The 23,093-nt window shown below is 36.8% G+C and overlaps 1 protein-coding gene across 11 annotated transcripts in view, besides 2 other annotated features; it reads left to right on the top strand.

Moving 5' to 3' along the window:
- Positions 1 to 23,093, top strand: part of LRBA (LPS responsive beige-like anchor protein) — a 751,293-nt gene that overhangs the window by 676,787 nt on the left and 51,413 nt on the right. For 6 of the 11 annotated variants that reach the window (NM_001367550.1, XM_005263373.4, NM_001440431.1 and 3 more), the window contains 2 exons: positions 13,043 to 13,132; positions 17,558 to 17,750. In NM_001367550.1, coding sequence (NP_001354479.1) covers positions 13,043 to 13,132; positions 17,558 to 17,750 — 283 coding nt within the window. The remainder of the gene's footprint in view (positions 1 to 13,042; positions 13,133 to 17,557; positions 17,751 to 23,093) is intronic. The other 5 variants (XM_047416462.1, NM_006726.5, NM_001199282.3 and 2 more) reach the window with 1 other exon arrangement.
- Positions 830 to 1,124: a silencer, noted in NCBI's record as "tiled region #13510; K562 Repressive DNase matched - State 13:Ctcf". NCBI's record gives its function as "represses a minimal TATA promoter and a strong SV40 promoter by Sharpr-MPRA in K562 cells {active_cell/tissue: K562}" and the evidence as "EXISTENCE:reporter gene assay evidence [ECO:0000049][PMID:27701403]".
- Positions 12,708 to 12,777: an enhancer, noted in NCBI's record as "active region_22014". NCBI's record gives its function as "activates an Ori minimal core promoter by ATAC-STARR-seq in GM12878 lymphoblastoid cells {active_cell/tissue: GM12878}" and the evidence as "EXISTENCE:reporter gene assay evidence [ECO:0000049][PMID:35858748]".

The raw sequence follows: 23,093 nt of genomic DNA, 5'->3' as shown, positions 1-23,093 counted from the left end.
TTAAAAATGTATTTATCAAAGCAATACATGTTAACTATTTCAAGAGTCAAATAATACAAAAAGTATAAAGTGAGAGACTAGAAAGCTCTCATCCTCAAATTGGTAACTAATGCCAGAGTCACATGTTAATGTCTAGCTATAAGTTCCTCTTTGATGCACTTTGATGTGTATGTAAAGAAAAAAAGCCTCTGCTACAGAACTCATTGTCCTTTCCTAATGCCTGAAATTCTACCATTAGAGATCACTTATTTGGTTACAAATCCTTTAAAAAAAAATCCTTTCCAATCATGTGGCTGTCTGTGAGTAAGACTGGACAGTAGGTTTTGATCAAAGGAAAAGTACAAACACAGCAGAGGCTGGAGCAGTTGTTGTATAAGGGACACCAGGGCAGATCTTGGGGTACACTGGAGGTTGGAAGAAGGGGTGGGGCTTCAAAGGCTGAAAGATACTTGCAGGTAGATGTTGCTGTCAGACAACCTTAATATGAACAATATTATCTGTGCTTTTTCATCTTGTACTTTGTTATAAGTACTTGGTACATTTCCTCTAAAAGTGTCATTTTCTTCTTTACTTTTCACGTAAATACATTGTTTTATGTTTATGTGAGTTCAGAAATTAATTAAAGTTTTAAATTTCCTTTTGAAAATGGAACTCAGCTCTATTTGCATTGATAAATAGGGGAGAGGGGAGAGCCGTGATATTGCCCAGTTTAAAGAATTACTGTATACAAGTGACCTCAACATGAAAGTAAAACCTGAAAATTTTCCCTAAGTTGTGTTTAGTGTCAGTGGTTGGTTTTCCCTCTTCCAAATTTATCCTTCCAAATGCTGTCTTAGCTATGCGTAATCACTCTGAGGTCTGTTTTCCAAAAGAAGCAGCAGCAGTGTTTAAGTTTACATGACCCCAGTTTCATGACAGCAGTAGCAAATCAGATATCTTATCCAAGGAAAAGCATTTTTGGCTTAGAATTCCATCAGTCTGTTGGTGGGAGTCAGCAGCTCCAACACTGCTGCAGAACACTGGCTGCAGTGAATCTTTCAGAAAGCATAAACACAATTAGTATTTATAGCATTGTTAACATTTGTTAAATAGTTGGGGGAGTGGTCTGTAAGCCTGTTTCAAGCAGGTGGCGCAAGAATCTTTGTTGTGACTGTGGTGAGATTTAAGAGTAGGACACGATTACAGTGGTTGTAGCAATATAGTAAATTAGGAGTATTGAATACCGAAGTTAAGATTTCATGCAGCCACAATTCAAAGTGTTATAGAAATAATCATGAAGTACCTCTGGCCAAAAGTGTGTTACACAGATGGCATATTTGACACAGTGCAGGGCAGGAACTGTACAATGAGAAGCCAAATAAACGGTAAGGATTAGTCAGGTTTTAATTGAAAACCTACATTTAAAATACCATAAAATTATGCCAGACTTTCTTTTACTTCAAAACCACAATAATCAGACAAAAATTCCCTTATTCAATTAAATGAGCATCAAAGTTGTCAGTAAAGCTACTCTTTGTATTTTGCTCATTATTATGTCTTTTGCAGACTTACTAGTTAAGTTAGGTGTAACTAAATTATACACTCAAGGACATGAAGCAAAATATTAATATTTTTATGATTTTTTTTCCTATTAACTACCTACAGAATTCTGAGCCGTTCTATTATACTGATGACTTTTGTCATGAACCCCTGTTTCCTTTCAGGCACCATCTTTACTTCATCTAGGTCACTCTTAGCAAATGAATAACCAATGACTGCTGCTTTTCATGACATAGTTTAAACATATTTGTTTGGTTTTGAGAAATAATTTAACCTTCTTAATGTGAAAATTAACTCTCTGGATATTGTTGAGTTTTTTTCCTTTAAGACCTTTACTGTGTTTTCTCAACATTTGCTTCTTAGCATTGGCAACCTCTTTGAAGACATTCCACTTATTTTTCTAGGCAGGCTGCTTTATCTACTCATTTCCAGTAGCCAGAGATGGAGGTGTTTTGAATGAGCACATCAATGTTCTAGACAGAGATACTGTTTGAAATTATCCATGAACACAGTGCCGCTGAACATTATTGAGTGACGTTTGTTTCTGTTGGTTGTGTCTGCTCTGACTAGCTGGTTTCTTTCAGATTGGCAGCTGGGATTATGCTGTAGTAGATGGACAGCTACAAGAACTGGAGATTGTAGTGAGGCTGGGTTGGGACTCAGTTTAATGTGCCTGAAAAGTACGGGCTCCGTTACAGGCACTAATGGAAAAATCTGTGTGCATTTTCACAAATTATAATTACATCATATTTTACATTAGTAACTTCCATAATAATATTATTTGAGTAGATATGCTAGTATAAATACTCCTTTCCCTCCCTAATTTTCCTTCTCCCCCTTTTCTTTGCATTATTATTTTAAAATATGTTTTACTTTATTTAACAAGCTGCTCTTTCTCTTTATTTTTTATGTACTCCATTCCATCATGATATGTATTTGTTTCCAGTTACCTGATGCATTCTGAGTGCTTCTTGGAGGAAAACACATTATTTACTTAAACAAGTTTGTATTTAATTAATACTAAATGATGGCAAAAATTGCTAAAACTAAGGGATCCTTGGAATCAGATACAGATAAGTTAAAAAAGTAAACTCAATATTAACAAAATTAATTTTATAGCAAGGTCTATAGATTTAAGTTTTTGACCAGTTTATCAACTGAAGTTGTTCTTAGATGGTTACAGAATATTCCTTGGGAGAGGAGCAGAAAAGATAACTATTGGGTACGGGGCTTAATACCTGGGTGGTGAAATAATCTATACCACAAACCCCCAGGACACAAGTTTACCTATGTAACACACCTTCACATGTACCTCTGAACCTAAAATAAAAGTTAAAAATATATGTATTTCTTGCTATTATGTTAATGGATAAATTAAACTTCATAAAGGCCAAGCACAGTGGCTTCGCCAGGCGTGGTGGCTTAGGCTTGTAATCCCAGAACTTTGGGAGGCCAAGGCGGGCAGATCATTTGAGCTCAGGAGTTCAAGACCAACCTGGGCAACATGGCAAAACACCATCTCTACAAAAATACAAAAATCAGCCAGGCATGGTGGCACACACCTGTGGCTCCCTGCTACTCAGAGGCTGAGGTGGGAGGATCGCTTGCACCCAGGAAACAGAGGTTGCAGTGAGCTGAGATCATATCACTGCACTCCAGCCTGGGTGACAAAGTGAAATCCTATCTCAAAAAAGAAACAAAAACAAAAACATTTATTGAGTGCTTACTTAACCCTAGCCAGGCCCTGTGTTAAGTCTTTAATATATATGCTGTAATAATATCACACACTTACTGATAGCTTAGTATGTGCCATGAACTGTTCTAAGTGCTTTATATATACATATATGTGTGTGTGTATATATATATATACACACATATATAATACGTATATGTGTGTGTATATATATATACACACACATATATACGTATATATATACACATATATACACATATATACGTGTATATATATATGTATATATGTGTGTATATATATATACACAGCCACACATACACATATATTTTTTGCTGAAATAAGGTCATACTCTATATACTTTGGTAGTTAGAAATTTTTCTTTCTTTGGTATATTATGAACTAGTTTCTATGTCAGGTGTATTCAACTCATTTTAATGGCTGCATAGTATTCCATTATCAGAGTTTAAGTAGTTTTTTTCTTCCAATTTTTACTGTTATAGAGTGCTATAATAACTTTCTTTATATCTAAATCTTTTTGTCTTCATCTGATTCTTTCCTTATGAAAATTCATAGAAGTGGGGCTGGGTGTGTTGGCTTATGCCTGTAATCCCAGCACTTTGGGAGGCCGAGGCAGGCGGATCACCTGAAGTCAGGAGTTTGAGACCAGCCTGGACAACATGGCGAAACCCCATCTCTACTAAAAATACAAAATTTAGCCAGGTGTGGTGGTGCATACCTGTAATTCCAGCTACCAGGGAGGCTGAGGCAGGAGAATCACTTGAACCTCGGAGACGGAGGTTGCAGTGAGACAAGGTTGCACCACCACACTCCAGCCTGGGTGACAGAGCGAAACTCTGTCAAAAAAAAAAAAAAAAAACCAAGACAAAACAAAAAAAACTTAATAATGATATACCAAATATTTGCAGACCTTTTTTTTTAAATTGTCTTTTAGATTTTTTCAAAATGAAAATTGTTTTGTTATGCTTATTTCAAAAATAATACATGCTTTGTGTAAGATATCAATTGGTATAAAAATGAGGAAAGTATAAATTTTTATTCTGCCAATCTTTTCATCCTTCCTCCATCAGAGAAAATAGCAAATAATAGTTTGGAATATACCCCCCAGATTTTGCATGCAAGTGTTCATGCATATGTATGTATGTATGCACATAACACATGTAAGTATATGTGTGTTATATATATATACACATACATATATATAACATACAAACTTGACTTTTATCTAAATTCTTAGATATCTGTCTTTATGTCTGCATTCTCAAAACTAAAAACATTAAGTCTTTCAAGTCCAAATTTACATAGAATCACTTCTGTTGAATTTCATTTACTCTTCTATGTATTAATAGATTATTTTGCAAATTTCATTGAAAATATCCTCTGCTGTATATTTTGAACATTTATCTGCTTGAGTTTTAAATATTCCATATCCTGGTGTATCCATTTTCTTGAAAAACTATTTATCTCTTATGTTTATGCTTTATAAAGTTTGAATTCTGTATTTTATTTCTCAGGCATTTAAAATATTTACATTTTAATCTTAGAAGACTCTTTTTAAATAATTTGAGTTAGGTTCATTATACTACTTTTTAATTTTGTGAATTTATTGCTCTGACAACTAAAAACTATTAATAACTTTGTATTTCTTTCCTAAGGTTAAGTGGGAGTCTGGTTTCCAAATGTTTCTAATGATGCTTTGCCTTTCTTTCTTTTAAGCCAGATAGAGATGTCATCCAAACATCTCTGATTTTCTCTTTTGGGATTTTCATCCCATTTTTACCAAATATATTTACTTGCTATGGGTCCTTTTTTGGCCTTAGCAGTTACAATATTATCAGGATTTTTTTCCTTTAGGAATTAAATACAAACGTAACCATATCATGATTAAGTAGTCATTTGATTAATATGTTTTTAAACTTAACTGATATCGAAGCTAAAGTTGAACCATACCTCCAAAGGACACTGAGGCTAGTCAGCTAGACAGTAAACTTTGAGTAGAAACCTGTCAAATATCCAGCAAGTGTTCTACAATTTAAGTTCAAACATCTGAAGGGAAAGAAGAAAACTGGCACAAGTAATGGTATGATACCACAGTAGACATCACTGGATGGTCTTAGTGTGACTTTTTAAATATTGAAAAGAATTTAATCTATGAAGTCTTGTTGGAATGCTTAAACATTTCTTGGTAAAGAGGTGGATTAGAATCTTACAGCAGCTTTCTTGAACTTAATTTTGGTAATGTGAGAAAGTTTTAATATATTAATAAATGACATATCTTTTCTTAATAAATTATTTTGTCTCTATTTCCCTATTCCAATTTTATAGTGCGTTCAGATGTAAATATGTAGGTGATAAAATACAATATCAGAGTTGTGTGCTTAAAAAAAAGGGCATATATATTAATTGTGTCCATATGTTTAAGTTATTTCTCCCCTACCCTACATCTTAAATAAAATTTTACAATATTTATTGTTGGTTACTAAGTGCTGTACTGAGTTAACTTGTTTCCTCAGTTAGATTAAAAAGCCTAGGTCAGAGAGACTAAAATAGTCTTTGTTAAGTTGAAGCCAAATACTACACTGTCACTAAGCCAAGTTTACTTTCCTTTACTTTTATCTCTTATTTCTTTCTTCCTTTCATTCTGTCTAGTATGTGTATGTATATTCTCTCTATATATATTGTCTCTTTTTCTATATATAGCTATAAAATCATGCAAGTATGAAATAGTTGGCACACACAAAAACTATAGAATACACAGCTTGTTGAAAATCTCTTCATAATATTTCCATTTGAAGATCCATTAATACATTCTCTAGGTAATATTTGAGATGCTGTTTATAAAATATAAATATGTGGTTTTACTGCAATGTCTTGAAGTATTTGCATAGTCTTTTTTATTACTATATATCTCAACATCTGGAATGCTGCCTGCTGACTTCAGGTTTTATTATAGAAAGTAGTAACAGGCTATTTACAGAAATAATTGGGAATTGATGAATAAGAATATTTAATAAAGCAAGCTTTTTTTGAAATGTTTTAATATAATATTTTATTCAACACTAGACTGCTCTGTGATTGTGGTAGTAGTGCATTTCTTAGCTGCATCCCTCCTAAATTAAGTTGATTTGCATGGACATTCACTGGGTAAATATTTACTGAGCACCTACTATGTGCCAAGCTGTAGAAGCACAGAAATATTAGGCAGTCTCTGATCTAAAGGAGACTTATAGTCTGATCAATAAGTTGGAAAATTAAACCAGTAATTAGAATATTAGATAAATAGGCAGTAAAAGTTTATGCATGTTGCTACAAGAGCAAAAAGGGAGGGACAGCAACAGTCTGGGTGAGGTCAAGAAAGATCTCCCAGAGGCCAGAGATGCCTGAGCTAAGTCTTCAAGAATGAGGAGGAAAGAAACCACACAGAGAAAAGGAATAGAAAATATATACAAGGGTTTAAAGGCAATATGATGTTGATTATATGTCACATTATAGAGTGGTGAAATGGACAGTGGTTGGGGCTAGATAACTATTCATCTTAAAGATGAGTAGTTGGTAACATTTATTGAGTGCTTGCTTAACCCTAGCCAGGCACTGTGTTAAGTCTTTAATATATATGCTGTAATAATATCACACACTTACTGATAGCTTAGTATGTGCCATGAACTGTTCTAAGTGCTTTATATTATCTCATTTAATCCTCACAACTCAATAAAATATTGACAGTTATTATCACAATTTTTAGAAGAGGAAATTAAGGCACAGAAGGTTAAGTACCTTGCCCAGAATCACTGAGCTAATATGTGATAGTGGTAAGATTTGAACTGAGGCTGTCTGATTCCAGTGTCTGCATACTTAATCCTATGCTGTGGTGCTACCCAGGGTAAGGATTTGGAACGGAAGGCTTTGAGTCACATAATCAAATTTGCAACTTAAGGATTGAACATCTCCTTGCAAGTCTGAGTATATTCAGCCCCTTAGAAGAAATATGAAGGCTGCCAGCTAATGCTTATATTTTTGGTCATTGTAAGATACTTTTATTCTCAGTATAGTCTTGCATTAGAAGTTAAAAAAAATAAATTGTTTAAAGGCAGAAGCACTCTGTTAATTTTCAATGAATCTATCTAGGACATTGTCTAGATTGACCCGACTTTAAGATAACCTAAAGCCAAAATGTCTTAATAATTATTGAAGGTGGCTAATGGATATGTGGGGATTCATTATCCTATTCCATAACAAAAAATGTTACATAACTGAATGTCTAAAAAGTGATCACCTAGCACCAAAACTCTCTAGGTGAAGGAGAGTTCATTAAGAGCAGTTGAGGCATTTGGTAATGTCTGTTAAGCTACCCTATTACCAACCCACCTTGCTGAACCGTACAGGGTTTAAGGATGCTTGTATGTTTCCTGTTATTTCACACCTCATTTATGCCTTTAAATTTTTTATTGCTCTATATAGAGGGCTGAATAGGCAAGTGAAGATAAGGCAAGAAACATAATCACTTGAGGGACTTTTTCAAATCATACATATTACCCCAGGATTTCTCACTTGACCTTAAGAATTACTACTATAGTGAGACAATGGAGTGTTGTCCTATCCTCCAGTATGCTGGATCTGAAGAAATGAGAATTACTGCCTTTAGTGACATCTTTCAGAGCTTCCCTGAGAGACTCATTTGGTTTCTTTCTAATAGCAAATACCAGCCTTTACTTAACACTCCTTATCCTCCCCTGCAACCTCAGTCAGCCCTCATCAAGAAGTGTGCTCATCTCTCAAGCTTGGTTTTGTCCCCAGTCCAACCATAGATGAGCCATAAGGGTTCCTGGCTAGCTTGCTATATAACAGGCACTCAGTAAATTTTTTGTTGTCTAAATACTATGTGCAAGGTACTGTTCCACCTGTTGCACATATATGGTATTCAGACCCTTCTAGCAGGGGTCCCTGACCGCCGAGCCACAGCCTGTTAGGAACCAGGCTGCATAGCAGGAGGTGAGTGGTGGGCAAGCATTACTGCCTGAGCTCTACCCCTGTCACATCAGCCACAGCATTAGATTGTCATCGGAATGCAAACCCTATTGTGAACTGCACATGCGAGGGATCTCGGTTGCACGCTCCCTATGAGAATCTAATGCCTGGTCATCTCAGGTAAAACGGTTTCATCCCAAAACCATATCCACCCCTCCAAGCAGGTCCATGGAAAAACTGTCTTCCATGAAACCAGTCCCTGGTGCCAAAAAGTTTGGGGACCAGTGCCTTATAGTGTAGTTGTAGTGACAGACATAAATAACATTACAGGAAATTCTGAATCAAGTATATACTGTAATGAGCAGTATGAACAGGTGTAATATTATTTAACAAGATTAGGGAAACTTGGTAGAACTCAAACAGGGTTTTCTAGAGAGGAGTAGAACTTAGAAAACTGAAGATAAGAGTGACCATTCTAGGAGGGTCAGTGGCATGGTAGAAAATGTAAGGCAGAGATGGCTTATATTTGTAGAAGAAAACCAGCTTGACTGAAAAGGAACACTGGTATAAGGTAATAGATAGAATGAGAGAATAAAAGTTAGAGAGATAGGAAAACCTGCAATGCCTGGCATTAGCTTTTATCTTTTAATTACTGGAATCACTTGAAGACATTTGATCAGAGAAATATTGCATAAAGGCGAGTTTGGGAAAACTTAGTTCTGCAGGATATGCTGGAGGCAGAAACTGAATAGAGGGGGAAAACCAGCAAAGAGACTGTTATAATAATCGATACTTGAAATTATAAGGGGCCTAGATTCAGAAAGGAGTGATGAATGTGATAAACTTCGAAGTGATTGGGCTTAGTGACTTTATATGTGAAACAGGTAAAATTTTTAAAATGTAGACAAGATTCTGAGCTTTAAAAAATCAGAAGAATCTAATTCTTGACTGAGAAATGCTAAAATAAAAAATAGTATTTTAAGATTTTAGATGTGCTAAGACATACATGTGCTTACACACAAGATGGCCAGGGCAAACTTCATGGGAGTGGGCAATCCTCTGGTCATAGGACTGGAAACCTTTCAGATAGGGGCAGAGTTTGAGGCCCAGTAGAAAAAATTTCCAAGAAAGCAAGCTTAAGTTGAGTGAATCATAGTGCTAAAAGAGAACTCACAGTAATAAATTTATTTATGGATGACAAGTCAGCAAAAGACAGAGATTAAAGGAGTAGACTACAGAGCCAGTCTAAGCATTAAGCCATTGAAGCCACAGAAGGGAGAATCTCTGTAAATTGCTTCAGAGATTAAGATGAATGAAAAATGGCAAATGAATTTTAAAAACAAGGAGGAGAACTGGAATTATCAGTTGATGATATACAGTGTGACTATAAAGTTTTGAGATCATAGTCATTACCTTACAATCTTATTCTATAATTTTCACACTTGAAAAAGTCCTTTCTGTTGCATTTTTAATATCAAGAACTGAAAGGTTCGTTAAGAAGTAAAGCATTTGTGTCTGAGAATTCCACAGCCTTTTCAGATGCCTTCAAGACTTGGAAAGAAAATTGATTATTATTTAACCTGTGTGAGAGACTATAGCTTTTATTCTGTCATTGAGATAGAATAATCAGACCACTATATTACGTGATTTAAAAAAGCCTTTTCCTCAGAGTTTTCAGTAATGTGCCACTTGTATTAAAATGTTAAGATTAAAGTTAAGTTAGTTAAAAAGAGGAGATTGGTATTTTCAGAAGTTGTCTCATCCATAACCTTTCATCTCAAAACATTGTTAAGTGCAAAACACTATATGTAATATTAAGGCCAGTTATATTAAATTTGTATCTATAATAAAGATGTATATGCTACAATGTCATCATTCATAGCTTCTCTATCATAGTTGGCGTTACTGCCCATTCTCTCTTCAAAACCCTCATCCTATGGCTTCCATATCACTCTATGCTGCTTTTCCTCCCACCCACCCTCTGACTGCCCTCTCTCTGTCTTCTTCATTACTTCCTCATTTGTACCCTAAATATAAATACTTCTTGAGGTTCTGCTCTAGGTGCTTTTGTGTCTGGGTCTCATGTATTTTCATCCTAGGGCTTAACGAGTATAGTTTCAAACTGTGCTCCAGAGCCCTAAAGAATTCTCAGAATTGTCTCAGAGGCTGATGAGGAGGCTTGTTAGGGATGGTTTCACCCCTGTAAAGTTGAATAACCCTATCTCCATGTATTGAGGTTTCATGTGATATTTCATTTCAAAAAGGAGGTCATTTCTGCTGCTTAAAAACATGCACACATATACAACAAGAGAGAAAGATAAAAAAAAAAGTAACTTAAATTTCTCTTTTATATGAATGACACCAAAATCAATACCTCTCTTCTCTCACCTCAGAGCCATTCTTAGGCTTTTACACATTGGACATACTGACCTAGATAAATGGTTATCACTATCACGTTGGATTCCATGTGTCTGACGTAAAATTTACTGTCTTTCTCCTGCCAAACTTGTTTTCCCTAACAGAAACTCCTGTATTCCTATTTCTGCTCATTGCTTTACTATTCTCTGAAACATGCAAGTTTTTTTTTAAGAAAAGGAATTAGTTTTGTATTTTCTTTATTGCTCAAAGTCATCAGTCCCTAAGACCTGTTGATTTTTCCTTAGCTGGTTCACATATTCATCTCTTTGTTACTATTACCATAGCTTCCATAAGGACCCAGGTGTATAATTCCTCATGTTTTGGACTGCTCTCAGAACCTCCAAAGAAATCTCTCTGTCTCTAGGCTCTTAGCCCTGTGGTATATTTTGAAATCCCAAGCCAGATTTCAGTTTTCTTAAATAATGTATTTCTCATTCTCTTCCTACATAAACTCCTGAGGCATTTCTTCCTTCTTTATTTTAGCTGTGTTAAGTGGGGAATACACCAACTCCCACATGAAATAATAATACAGTACAGCATTTTATTTAGTGCTTTGTATGTGCTAGGTACTGTGCTAAGCACTTTATATGCATTATCTTATTTCATTTTCCAAACAATTATGTGAACTAGGTATTGTTACTATCTCTTTGTAGATGGGAAACGGAGATAAGCTAATTGCCTAAAGTCAAACAGCAGATAAGTGTCACAGTCAGGATTAGCACTCTGAGCCATCTGACATGATAGGCCAAGTGCTGAAGCAATAAGTTCTTTGCCACCTCCCTCCCCTTTTAATCAGGGAGGCATGTGGGCTGCCGGGCAGGAACCACAGAAGGCAACTGTCAAGGAGACAGGTCTGGCTTGTACAGTGCACTCTTGTTCAGGCTGTACTCTTGTCCAGGCTGCACTCTTGTCCAGGCTGGAGTGCAGTGGTGCAATGATAGCTCACTGCTGCCTCGAACTCCTGGCCTCAAGCTGTTCTCCTACTTCAGCCTCCTAAGTATCTGGGACTTGAGGCACACACCAGCACACCCAGCCAATTTTCTTTATTTTTTGTAGAGACAGGGTCTTACTATGTAGGCCGTTCTTGAACTCCTGGCCTCAAGCGATCCTCCTGTCTTGGTTTGGGATTACAGGTGTGAGCCATCATGCCCATCCTTACCAGCTGTTCTTCAAAAAGATATAAAGTTCTCATTCATAAACTAAGTCCATAAGTTCATATATCATAAATTAGCAGTGTTGCTACCTCCTTCTTTGTGACTACCTTTAGCCTTCAGGTTCCCATTTTATGATTTTTTTCTCAAGCTTGTTCTTGATGTTTAATCATAAATTAATTTCACTCTATCAGAAAATATTTGAGATGATGTTCTGAAAATGATCCTAGTCCCTACCTCACTTCCTTTTGGCTCCAATTTTTATTCTTATTAATTTGAGGGTTTTCCTCATCCTTTTAGCCTGGGAGTTAAGCATACTGACTGTTACGGGAGTGTCGAAGTAGCCTTTATATGTGTTTGCTTCCTTCTCTCCCCTCACCCAGCATGTAGCATTTATTCATTCAGCCAATTTAGGGATCTAACAGTGAAGAAGATACATAAGGTCCTGCTTTCATGGCTTTTGTATTTTACTGGGAAGAAACAGATATAAACAAGTAAACACAATGCTTACAGATGTGATAGCACCTGGCATTTAGCAGTTTCCCATGATGGGTGGTTGGTGATGGAAATGGGCATTTGTGTGCTATGTGTGCACCAAGAGCCATAGTAGGAGAGTGCCTTGCAAAAGCACACGTCTTTCAAAAAGAGCACACATACACACGTTCCTCATGTTTAGTGACTCCCTGGTTTAACCATCTCATGCTTAGATGCAACATATGGCTTTTACTTTGTTATTTAGTTGTCTAACTTCAAAGAGACAGTCAACAATAATGCTCTTCCTATGGCAAAATTAATATAGCATCAAGCCACTTTCACAGGTGCTATGTTTCTTTTTTCCTCCTTTTTACTCCCCAGGATGAAATGGGACCTAGAATCAAAGAAGCAATAGTTTTTCTCTATACCTGTAAAAGATTAGCTTTTCATCATTGGGGATGATGCAAGCAGGAAAACCAAGTGCAAGAAAACAGAGATGAAGCCAAAAAGGACAATTTCTGATTGTAATAGCTGGTTTCTGTTTCATATCACTGAGCAAGATGAGAAAGTTTTGCAGAGTTTTAGAGGAACAGCTTCTGCGGTTCTAAATGATGACCTCACCCTCAATGCCCTTGCCAGGTGGTTAGCCCCACTGTGAAAACACAGGTTGATTTTCAGCATGAAACAAGCCAGAGTATGGAATGATATTTTCAGGTGACAGTTGGGGTTCTATTTCCTGTAATTAGCACCTCTTAACCTTCAGACTTGCCCCTGCCCTTTTCAGGCTGTTGAAGCTCAAATCCGAAGTTTTGGACAGACTCCTTCTCAACTACTCATAGAGCCCCATCCTCCCAGAGGTTCTGCCATGCAAGTGGTAAGTGCTATTTTTACTCTCCTCATTTCTTGCCTCTCCTTCAGATCCGCTTGATATTCATAACAGTCTTTCATTGTGCTTGAGTTTCTCCACCATATGTGGGTTTGTTTTTTTATGCAATATTTGTTAACCTGCTAACAACCAGCAGATGTTATTGCATTGTCTCCTGGAATCTTTGAGAAGGTAAATGTTGCTCCAGTGCTCTTGTATTTCATCAGTTGGTGTCTTGTGTTACAGAATTGAAAGGTCCATAATTGTCATGAATCCTCACTGTAGGATAAAGGACTCCAGACATAGGGTTGATGACTTTTCTGGTTTGATTCTCTGAGTTTCTAGATTAGTTTTGCTGTTGTGTTTATTCTTTACATCCCAATATATTTTTCAGTTTGGGAATTTTAAAACAAATTCTAATACATAAGATATTGTTACTGAAGGTCAGGGACCACAGTGAGGAGAAAAATGATGGTTTGGTATAACAAACCACCCAAAACTTAGTGGCTTAAAACAATCATGTATTGTATTTCTCATGATTCTGAGGGTTAGATGAAAATCTTTTCTGCTCTTTTCACCTCGCCTCACTCACACACTGCTTGGGGGTGGGCTGATGTAGCCAGGCTTCTCTTTCCATGTGGCCTTTCATCCTTAAGGAAGCTAGACCAGGCCGCTCCCATGGTAGGAGCAGTCCCATGAGAATGAAGACAGACAGAAGCAGCCAGACTTCTTGAGGCTTGCTTTTGAACCTACACATCATTTATGCCACATTTCATTGGTCAAAGCAAGTCAAAAGTCAGCCCAGAATCATGGGTACGGAAATAGACTTGAGCTACAAAATAAGGTGGCCATTTTACCTTTATAGTTCCTGAAATTTCAGGGGGAAAATTCTTCAATGAGGAAAAAAAAATTGGCAGAGTAACAAATTGAAGTGCGTGATTAAAATAATTTTTAAGGAATAGACTATACATATTGTTTTTCAATTGTCCCTCATAAAAAGAAGTTGCTCATTGCTGTTTTAAATTAAGAATAGAAACTACAAAGTCTGTTCCCGTAAATATAATTAACAATTATATAAAGTCAAATTCCATGTTGTGGTGTAGAGATAGCAGAATTTTGATAAATACTGGGAAGGAAAGAGTAGCAGTGAAGAAAGTAAGAAATAGAGAGGAGGCCCTGCTACCTCTGGCTCTTTTTTCCTTTTTTTTTTTCCTTTCTCTTCCCACATCACCTTCTGTGTCTTTTTTTCCCTCTGTGCTCTTTGTCATTTTCTTTCTTCTTCCAAGATTTTTTCTCCTTCTTTATCTAGCAGTATGAATTGGCCATCATAAGCTATACACATTTTAAAAATTGTTTGCATCACTCTTTCCCCTACATGTTTTTAAATCAGTAAAATCAGATTTAGATGAACGTGAAGAGTGACTTTAGTGGGCAGAAGACTACATAGATAGCAAACATTTAGCAAGAACAATGGAAGATAGTGCCATAAAAATAGTAAGAATGATTTATGTTTGCATTTGGAATTAGCTTTAGTAATAGCTTGCCATTGAGACTCAGGCTGCATTGGTGCTGGCAAATGGAAGCACCTCCTCTGCTCCATTGACTTTCTGCTGGGGTCACTGCCCAGCCTTCTTCCATGGCAGAGGCTTATTGGCTCATACAGGCAGAGCAGCTTTGCTATCCCGAGGGTGAGAAGGCGGGGAAGGCTCATGCTCATATAAGGATGGGAGGCCGTCTTTTCCATTACCTTTATCCTCTGAATTGAATACCTGAACTCCTCTTCAGACTTGCACAAATTGTGTTTTTCGCTTTGTCCATATGTGCATGGGGAAAAGGCAGTTTAAAAAGAAACCAGAGTTGTCAACAAATGTATACTTAATCTGGGAAAACTGATGAAACCTGGCTAGCAATTTCCTACTTGTACCCCAGCCTTGGCTCACAGAGGTACCCAGTATTAAAAGAGGCTTTGTTTCTCTTATCCCTGTTTTACCAGTTGCTCTGCTCATCTGCAGCTGCTGCTGTCACTGCAGAGTAGCCTAGTAGTGTGGGGTATGGTTTTCTTATTTCTGGTGTTTCTCATTCATGCTTTTTAGCCAAGGATATATGATGAAACGCCCAAGAGAGTTTCCTGCTACTTGCCTGCATCAGGAGCTCTAGTCAGGATGGGGTATGGAGGAGCAGACTAGAGGGACAGATATTTGTACGAAGGCAGTGGACATTTCTGGACATGGTGTCTGCAGCTTGCTGTGGAAGGTGGCTGGTCCTTGCCGTGTGGCTTAGAGTTGGCCCACCAGAGTCACTATGTAAACAAGACATTCTTCCTACACATGAGAGATTTTTTTTGTGTTTTTTAAGGGCATAAACATTGGAACTATTCAATTTGAGCCTAATTATATTTATAGTATGAGCTGTTAAGCTCAGAAATATGTATGTACTTCCTTTCAGTGAGATTTTATGATTATGTTGTACTCTGATTTTCTCTGAGTTTATAAATTGACTTTCGTAAATATTATTTAAAAACTACATAATTGAAAAATAAGACTTGGTACTTGGAAATGATGTTCATTTCCTTTTCCCAGGACTTCTTTAAAATTAGCTTATGGGATATTTTCCTTCATGTTGCTCCCTGTTTCTCATTTTTACCTAATTTCACAGAATTCCTTAAAAACTATATAAAACGTTCTTTGTGTGACAAAAACTAGTGATACTAGGGTTTTAAAAATCAAAGGCCACATATTTATTGTTTTTAGTAACATTCAGATGAGCTCCCCCATCAACCATCAATGCATCCCCACACACACACACACACACACACACACACAGAGACACACACAAATATAGCAGAAATTAAAGCCACCTCGTGCTGCGTTAAGTGCATGAACCATAATATACACCAGGTGTAGTAATTAGCAGGCACACGAAGGCTGCCTATTTGTCTGGTTTTGCTGCTGTTGCTGTATCCCCCTGTGTTTTCACACCATCAGATAGTTGGACTTAATTGAGGCCACATCAGATGAGGCATTACTGACACCTTTAATTGAATGAGCATCCAGGGAGGATTAACTCATAATATTGATTGGCTTTTAGCCACTTGCTCAGAAGGGTGTCCGGGTAGCTTATTAGTTGCCTTTATTTACACCTTTATGCAAAGAGTGCAAATAGGAATTCTTAGTGCAATATGTTTTTCTAAGTACTCTTAATAACTTTTTTAAAAGGACTGATAATAAAAATGCAAATGTATTTAATTTTTTATTACCAGTTCTGAATAAATATGTGTTAAATATATGTGCCTCCACATTTACATATTACCTGGTGTTTTGAAATATGGCAGAAGGAAAGCAGCCAGAAGCATTTCATCAAAGTGTTTCAATTCTGAATGATACTAATCAGCTATTAGAAAACAGACATGGTAGGAGAGAATTGCTGAAAATGTACAGTGCAATTACTGTATGATAGCACACCACCACAAAGTATAAATAAAGCCAATAAATCAGAGCAGTGTTATATATGTCTTGGATTATGACATATGGGTTGTAAGAATGTTCCAAATCCTTAGTAGTCTTCAAGATTTATTTGGTTGCTGGTTATTAGAACAGACAGTGTTTCATTTAACATTTTCAATTACTCTGTTTTTTGAAGGAGAAATCAAAAAAGTCTTGAGCTCTAGTTTTGTTTGTTTTTTAACCAACAGGGAAGAGGAACACCTAGGTATTTCTCTTTATTCCTAGCTACAGCAGAAAGCAGTAGCATTTGCATTACAATAGGCAGTGTTTATGATTTGGTACACTATATAAATATATTGTTTTTACAAGTACATTTATGCATTGCTTTCAAACACCTTTATAATTAAGTTTGTATATTACGTTCATAAGTTATTTCTCTACTGTAATAATATATGCATGCAGTCTAACTATTGTTTATAAATGTATTTGTTTTCATTACCTCTTTGTAGTTGTCAAAATCTTCCTGCTAACTCAACACAACTTTTGATGATCTTTGGAAATTACCTTGTCTTGCTTTTATGCCTGTTGTCCATTCTTACTGTTTTTTTAGTGCTAAAAGATCATTATGTGACACGATAGCAACCAGAATGGTTTAATGCAATCCCCAGCACTTTGCCTGTGTAGAATCTAAATCAAATCATTCTTTTAGTTTTTCGTGGCAGTGGGGAGGGAAAGGGAGCTCATAAAATTTATAAATTTTAAAGTGTTTCTGTTAATGTATTCTACTTCAGTCCCCCAAAATTCCAACTAACGACATACATGAATAACAGATCATGACTGCTGTTTCTACAAGCCTTTCTGCTCACTGTGCTTCCACTTACAACTCATGTTAATATGGTCTTCCTCTTCTTTTCCTGCACCCCCTCTCTTTCTTGTCTTTCTTCATCTTTTCCTTCTTGTCTATTTGGGTCTTGTCATGCCCACTCAACAGTATCTCCTCCTGCAGAGTCCATTGATGTTCACAGACAAAGCCCAGCAGGATGTTATCATGGTCCTCAAGTTTCCCTCCAACTCCCCTGTTACTCACGTGGCAGCCAACACCCAGCCTGGTTTGGCAACTCCCGCTGTGATCACAGTCACTGCTAACAGGTTATTTGCGGTGAACAAATGGCACAACCTTCCTGGTAAGTAAAGAAATACCATTATAAGGCATGGTAACTGCTGAACACTGTGTAATACCCACTTAAATATAGCATATCTCAACATTTAAGCTTTTAATTTTCAAGCATTAGTCTGAATCAAATTGTTTAATAGTTTGAAAGGCTTAAAAAAGGCCCACGTGAGGCATATAGTACAAATGTTAAAAACATAAACTACTTTTTAGCTTCTGGTGGTTTATCTTTATTCTTGGAGATAAATATTGTTTCTAATATAGTATTTTAATATAATGATATTCTATATTATGTCCATAAACAGTATATATTTATTTATTTATCAAATGTTTCTCTTTTTTACTTTCATTTTACTTAATAAACACTTGGGTTTTTACAAATTTTTGTTTGTTTTTAGAGACAAGGCCTTGCTCTGTCACTCAGGCTGGAGTGCAGTGGTGTGATCATAGCTCGCTGTAGCCTTGAACTCCTGGGCACAAGCAATCCTCCTGCCTCAGCCTCCTGATTAGCTAGGACTACAGGCACGCAGCACCATGCCTGGCTAATTTTTTTTAACTTTTCGTAGAGATGGGCTCGCTATGTTGCCCAGGCTGGTCTTGAACTCCTGGCCTCAAGCAGTCCTCCTGCCTCAGCCTCTTAAAGTGTTGGGATTACAGGCATGAGCCACTATGTCCAGCCACAGTAAACAATTCTGATTGTCTATTATGTGCCAGAAACTGTACCTTTTTGTGCTTGGCATGGTAGTATTGGTAGTATTTGTTGAGGATAATAGAAAAAAAAAAGAACACTTAAATTACATAGCCAAAATATTGAATATCTGTAAGTACCTTCTGTTCTTCCATTAAATGCTCAACACAGTCATGCTCAACTGAAATAACCATTAGAATCATAAACAGTGCAGATTTAAAGAGGCATTGAAAGTTTATCTACTCCAGCCATGTTTTGCCAGTGAGGACACTGAGCCCAGGGAGCTCGCCTTATTCTGCATCAAATATGCCCAGTCAGTGGCGGAGTTTGAGCCCAGGTTTTCTCACTCAGATTTTATGACCACCCCTCTGTAATGTATTCTCTCTCATTAGAGCAGGAAAGTTGGGACCTGGATTTAGCACTGTTCTCTTTGGCCAGTTAGAATTTTTTTTAAGAAGAAGGAAAATCTTTTAAACTTCTGGAGATTATAGACTTTTTTCCCAAGCCGTTGTTTTAGGTAGGCAAATTTAAAAGATACATTTTAATAGTTCATGAAATTGTCATTAAATCTCTGAAGTGTGCATAAAGCACTGCTCGTTAGAATACCTGAAATGGTTGCAAAAATACAAGTTCTTGAACAAGGACCTCATGCCAAATTAAATGCAACAGCTTTCACAAGGGAACAGAATTGACATTCAAACAAAAACTTGGTACATTGACTAAGCTCAATAAGGTATACCTACCACAAAGAATCTGTAGTTGGTATTAGAATTGATTAAATATAGCCATTTTCCTGGGTATATTGGAAATGAAACGATGCAAATAAATGCCAATATTTGACTACAAAATAGATTTCAGAAAAGGTAGAGACAGTAAAAATGGAGGCAGATATTTAATATCTCTATTATTATGTCCTTTTATTCTTTTTTCTTTAAGTAAACTTCTCTTACAGAAGTAAATATTTATGAAAATAACATACTTATATTTTGGGACTAAATATTACAATTTATTTAAGAAACGTGATTTTTTTGTTTCTCTAAACACTTTTTAGAAGAAAAACATGCTGGTGATATGTTCTATCAAATACACTAGAGGATTTACCTACTCTATGTGCGGTTACCCTTAGAGCTTTGCACCAGCATGTGTGACTTCAGGACCACCAATGATGATGCTTATCCTGGGTGGCTGTTTGTGGCAGCCCTGAGAGCTTCTTCAGTTTAAACAGAGTGACATCAGATGTGAGGAGGGGCAAACCTTGCAACTGCTGGAAAGCCCTGACTGTACTCTGCCCCCATCTTTACTTTAGCCTAGGAAGAGCTGGCTCAACGGGAACTGAGCTGGCTCAACCACAGGGCTCCTCGGTCTCCAGCTGATTTCAAGTTTTAGCACTGATAACCCTAAGCATTTAAGACCCTACGCGTTGATGACTAAGCTTCTGGCTTTCACCTTTCCAGCAAGCTGGTGTCCCTCACTACAAAGCTTGCTTCCCTTAATACCTAGTGGTCAGGTATTATCTTCTCCACTTCCAATTTTTCTATAAATAAATATGTAAAGTGATTTAGGGGTAGAGTCTCACTGCTGGAGTACCACTTAGGATGCATCCAACTGTTCCCAGTCCTGGCTCACCTTTCTGTAAGATAGCTAGGGGAACTGCAAGGTTCTGCAGAATCTTGCCTATATTTCTGTTCAGTGAGCTTTCATTGTGTCTATAACCATGTCATTAGAGATGTTTGTCTTCACCCTTTCCATACATACTGCCTTTACAGTATGACACAGCAACTTTTCACCAGAAAAATACAAAAAGCGATAACATATGGGAATACACCACAGGCAGTTATCTTTCTAGAATGTGATCTCCAATTTGAGCTGCACCTGCAACTAAGAATATTAAGCGTTTATTATATTAAGTCTATGCTTCATTTTAGGTATGTTTACATAAATCTAACCTTTCATTCTATCTCTTGCTACCTTTACCTGTCACTATGCCTTGATTTAAAACAAACATCAAAAATCCCTGACAGTTTTTCTTTGGTAAATATCAAATCCATATTACAATATTTATTTTTTTAATTTTAGGTTCTGTTTCTTTTCTGAGGATCTATGATTTCCATAGCTCATTCATTAGACAGCTGGTTCCCCTCAGTTCTTTGAGTAGTGTCTGATTTAGAAAATAAATAATCTTTAACCTCCCTTCTCATTCAAAGGATCTTGAAAACCTCCAAAAATTAGAATAACACCAGCAAATGTTTATAGAGCATTTTTCTAGTTTCTAAGATTTTCCTTCTTCTTAAAAAAAATTCTAACTGGTGGCCAAAAAGAACAGTGCTGAATCCAGGTCCCAACTTTCCTGCTCTAATGAAAGAGGGGAGAGGTGGTCATAAAATCCGAGTGAGAAAACCTGGGCTCAAACTCTGCCACTGACTGGGCATATTTGATGCAGAATAAGGCGAGCTCCCTGGGCTCAGTGTCCTCACTGGCAAAACATGGCTGGAGTAGATAAACTTTCATGCCTCTTCAAGTAGTGTTTTAATCATTTTATGTGTATTAACTCAATCTTCTTAACAACCTGAGGATGTAGGTTCTGTACTTAGGTTGAAACCATATGAAATCGCGTTTTTTTATAGGTCAAAACAGTCAGTTATTGGCAATTTCATATGGTTCAATCTAACCTATTTTATAGATCAGGAAATTGAAACATAGAGATTACATAACTTGACCAAGTTCATACAGCCAGTCAGTGGCAGAAGTAGGATTTGAAGCATCAGCAAACCTCCTTAAACCCATTTCACTGACAGTTTGGTTTAAATGTTTCTAAGATCTCAGATTATCAGAGAAGTAGAGGGAAATTCTAAAGGTATTAATGTTGATTGACACTGGTATTGCTGGAAGTAAGTGGCACTATTGGGTAGACCAGAGGCTGTAGTGCATTTTTCCTGGTCCTCCCTTGTGAGTATCCTGTGATTTCTTTGCCAGCAGAGACAGTAATCAGCAAAGACAAATACCTTTTGGGTTTTTTTTAAAAGAGCCGTTGTGGTTTCTTTTCTTCAGCTACTTTAGTTTCTTATACATACTGTAATTTCTAGTGCCAATACTGTACTTAGGTGTTTTATCAGTATTAATGACCTTCCAAACATCTTTAAAAAGTTGGTATTTACTAACTGGAGAAACTATGACAGAGTAAGTATAAAATAATCTAATGAACTTATTGAAATGTACCCCATATTTATTTTCAGCCCCTCAAAGACAGATAGATTTCCTAAAATCTTATGGTAAGACAGGAATAATATATGGTAATCACAGGAGAATAGAAAATTCCAGGCAGCAGTTTCTTGACTATCAAAAGGAAACTGTTGAAATAGCTGCAGAAGCTAAGATCTGATAAGACCCTGAAAAAACCAGGGTGCAGGCCAAGCTGGCTGAGACTGTCTGGACCCAACATGGTGCTGAGTTTGATCTAGGTTTCACATAGGACCTCATTATATGCTCATTAACATACAAATCACACACCCACCAGGGCCATGACCGTTCCAGGAGCACTCATATTTGGTGTAAAAATGGATGGCACCACAGTTCTGAGAAATTGCCACCTTTTTCCAGGAATCTTCATGAACATTCCACCCCTTGGTTAACAGAAACCCATAAAGATAGGAACCCCAACGCCCCTTGTCCACGACTCTCTCTTGAGTACACCCACACTCCCCTTTTGAGTGTGTACTTTTTGCTTTGCAATAAATCTCCATACTTTCACTATTTTCTGACTTGTCCTTGAGTTTCTTCTCACCACAGTGTCAAGAGCCAGGGTTGAGGTCCCACTGGTGTTTGGGGACCTCCCCTAGCCCACCGGTATCAATGGCATTAAGCAGAGCTCTAATACCAACCAAGCAATAATGTGAATGCTTGTGAGTCTATAAAAAGTAGATACTGAGCAGGGTGAATGGCTGAGTCGTTTGGGGAAAATAGTTTGGAAAAGGGCCCAGAATTTAACTGTCAGAACTATGAAGCTGAAAAGATAATCTATTCTGAACCCTGTTTTAGGGTTTATGATTTGCACAAGGTTGCATCAGGTAGTTCCTGATTCCTGATATACTTCCTCTCTACCGAAAGTCCTTCTCCCTTTCAGAGGGAAACAGCCTGCAAAACCTCTCTTCAATTATAAAATAAGTATGCCTGAATCTTTAAAACCATTTTGAGAATTGAACAAAGTATTCTTAGGATAGATTGATTTTTGTTATTCATCTCCTTCTCAGAGTATTTTTAAATTGAAACCATGGAAATATTAAATATTAATAAAACTTCTTTTTAAACCCTCAATCCAATCTTTAAGAAAATATTTCAGCCAAATGCATTTAACTAAAACATTTATCTGCGGATAGCTTTCTTTATTTTTATTCAAACTTTCAATTGATTGATTTTAAGTGATGGATGAAACACTAAATGTTCCCTGACTTAGAGCTTTCCCTTTCTCCATCATAAGTTGACATTTTTGTAGATCCTTTGTGCTGTAGCATTCAAAACTGCCTTTTTAAGAAGTAACAAAAAAATAGTATTTGCTACAGTCAGCAGATGGTTGTCACATTTTGTTTTCAGTGCGCTTTACCACTTAATTTTGTTTTGTTGCAGCATCAGAGGTTGCCAGTCAAGCATCTGCTATAGCTTATGGCCTAGGAC

The sequence above is a fragment of the Homo sapiens genome, chromosome 4, assembly GCF_000001405.40.
Source record: "Homo sapiens chromosome 4, GRCh38.p14 Primary Assembly".
NCBI lineage: Eukaryota > Metazoa > Chordata > Mammalia > Primates > Hominidae > Homo > Homo sapiens.
This window is presented reverse-complemented; position numbering and strand designations above follow the sequence as displayed.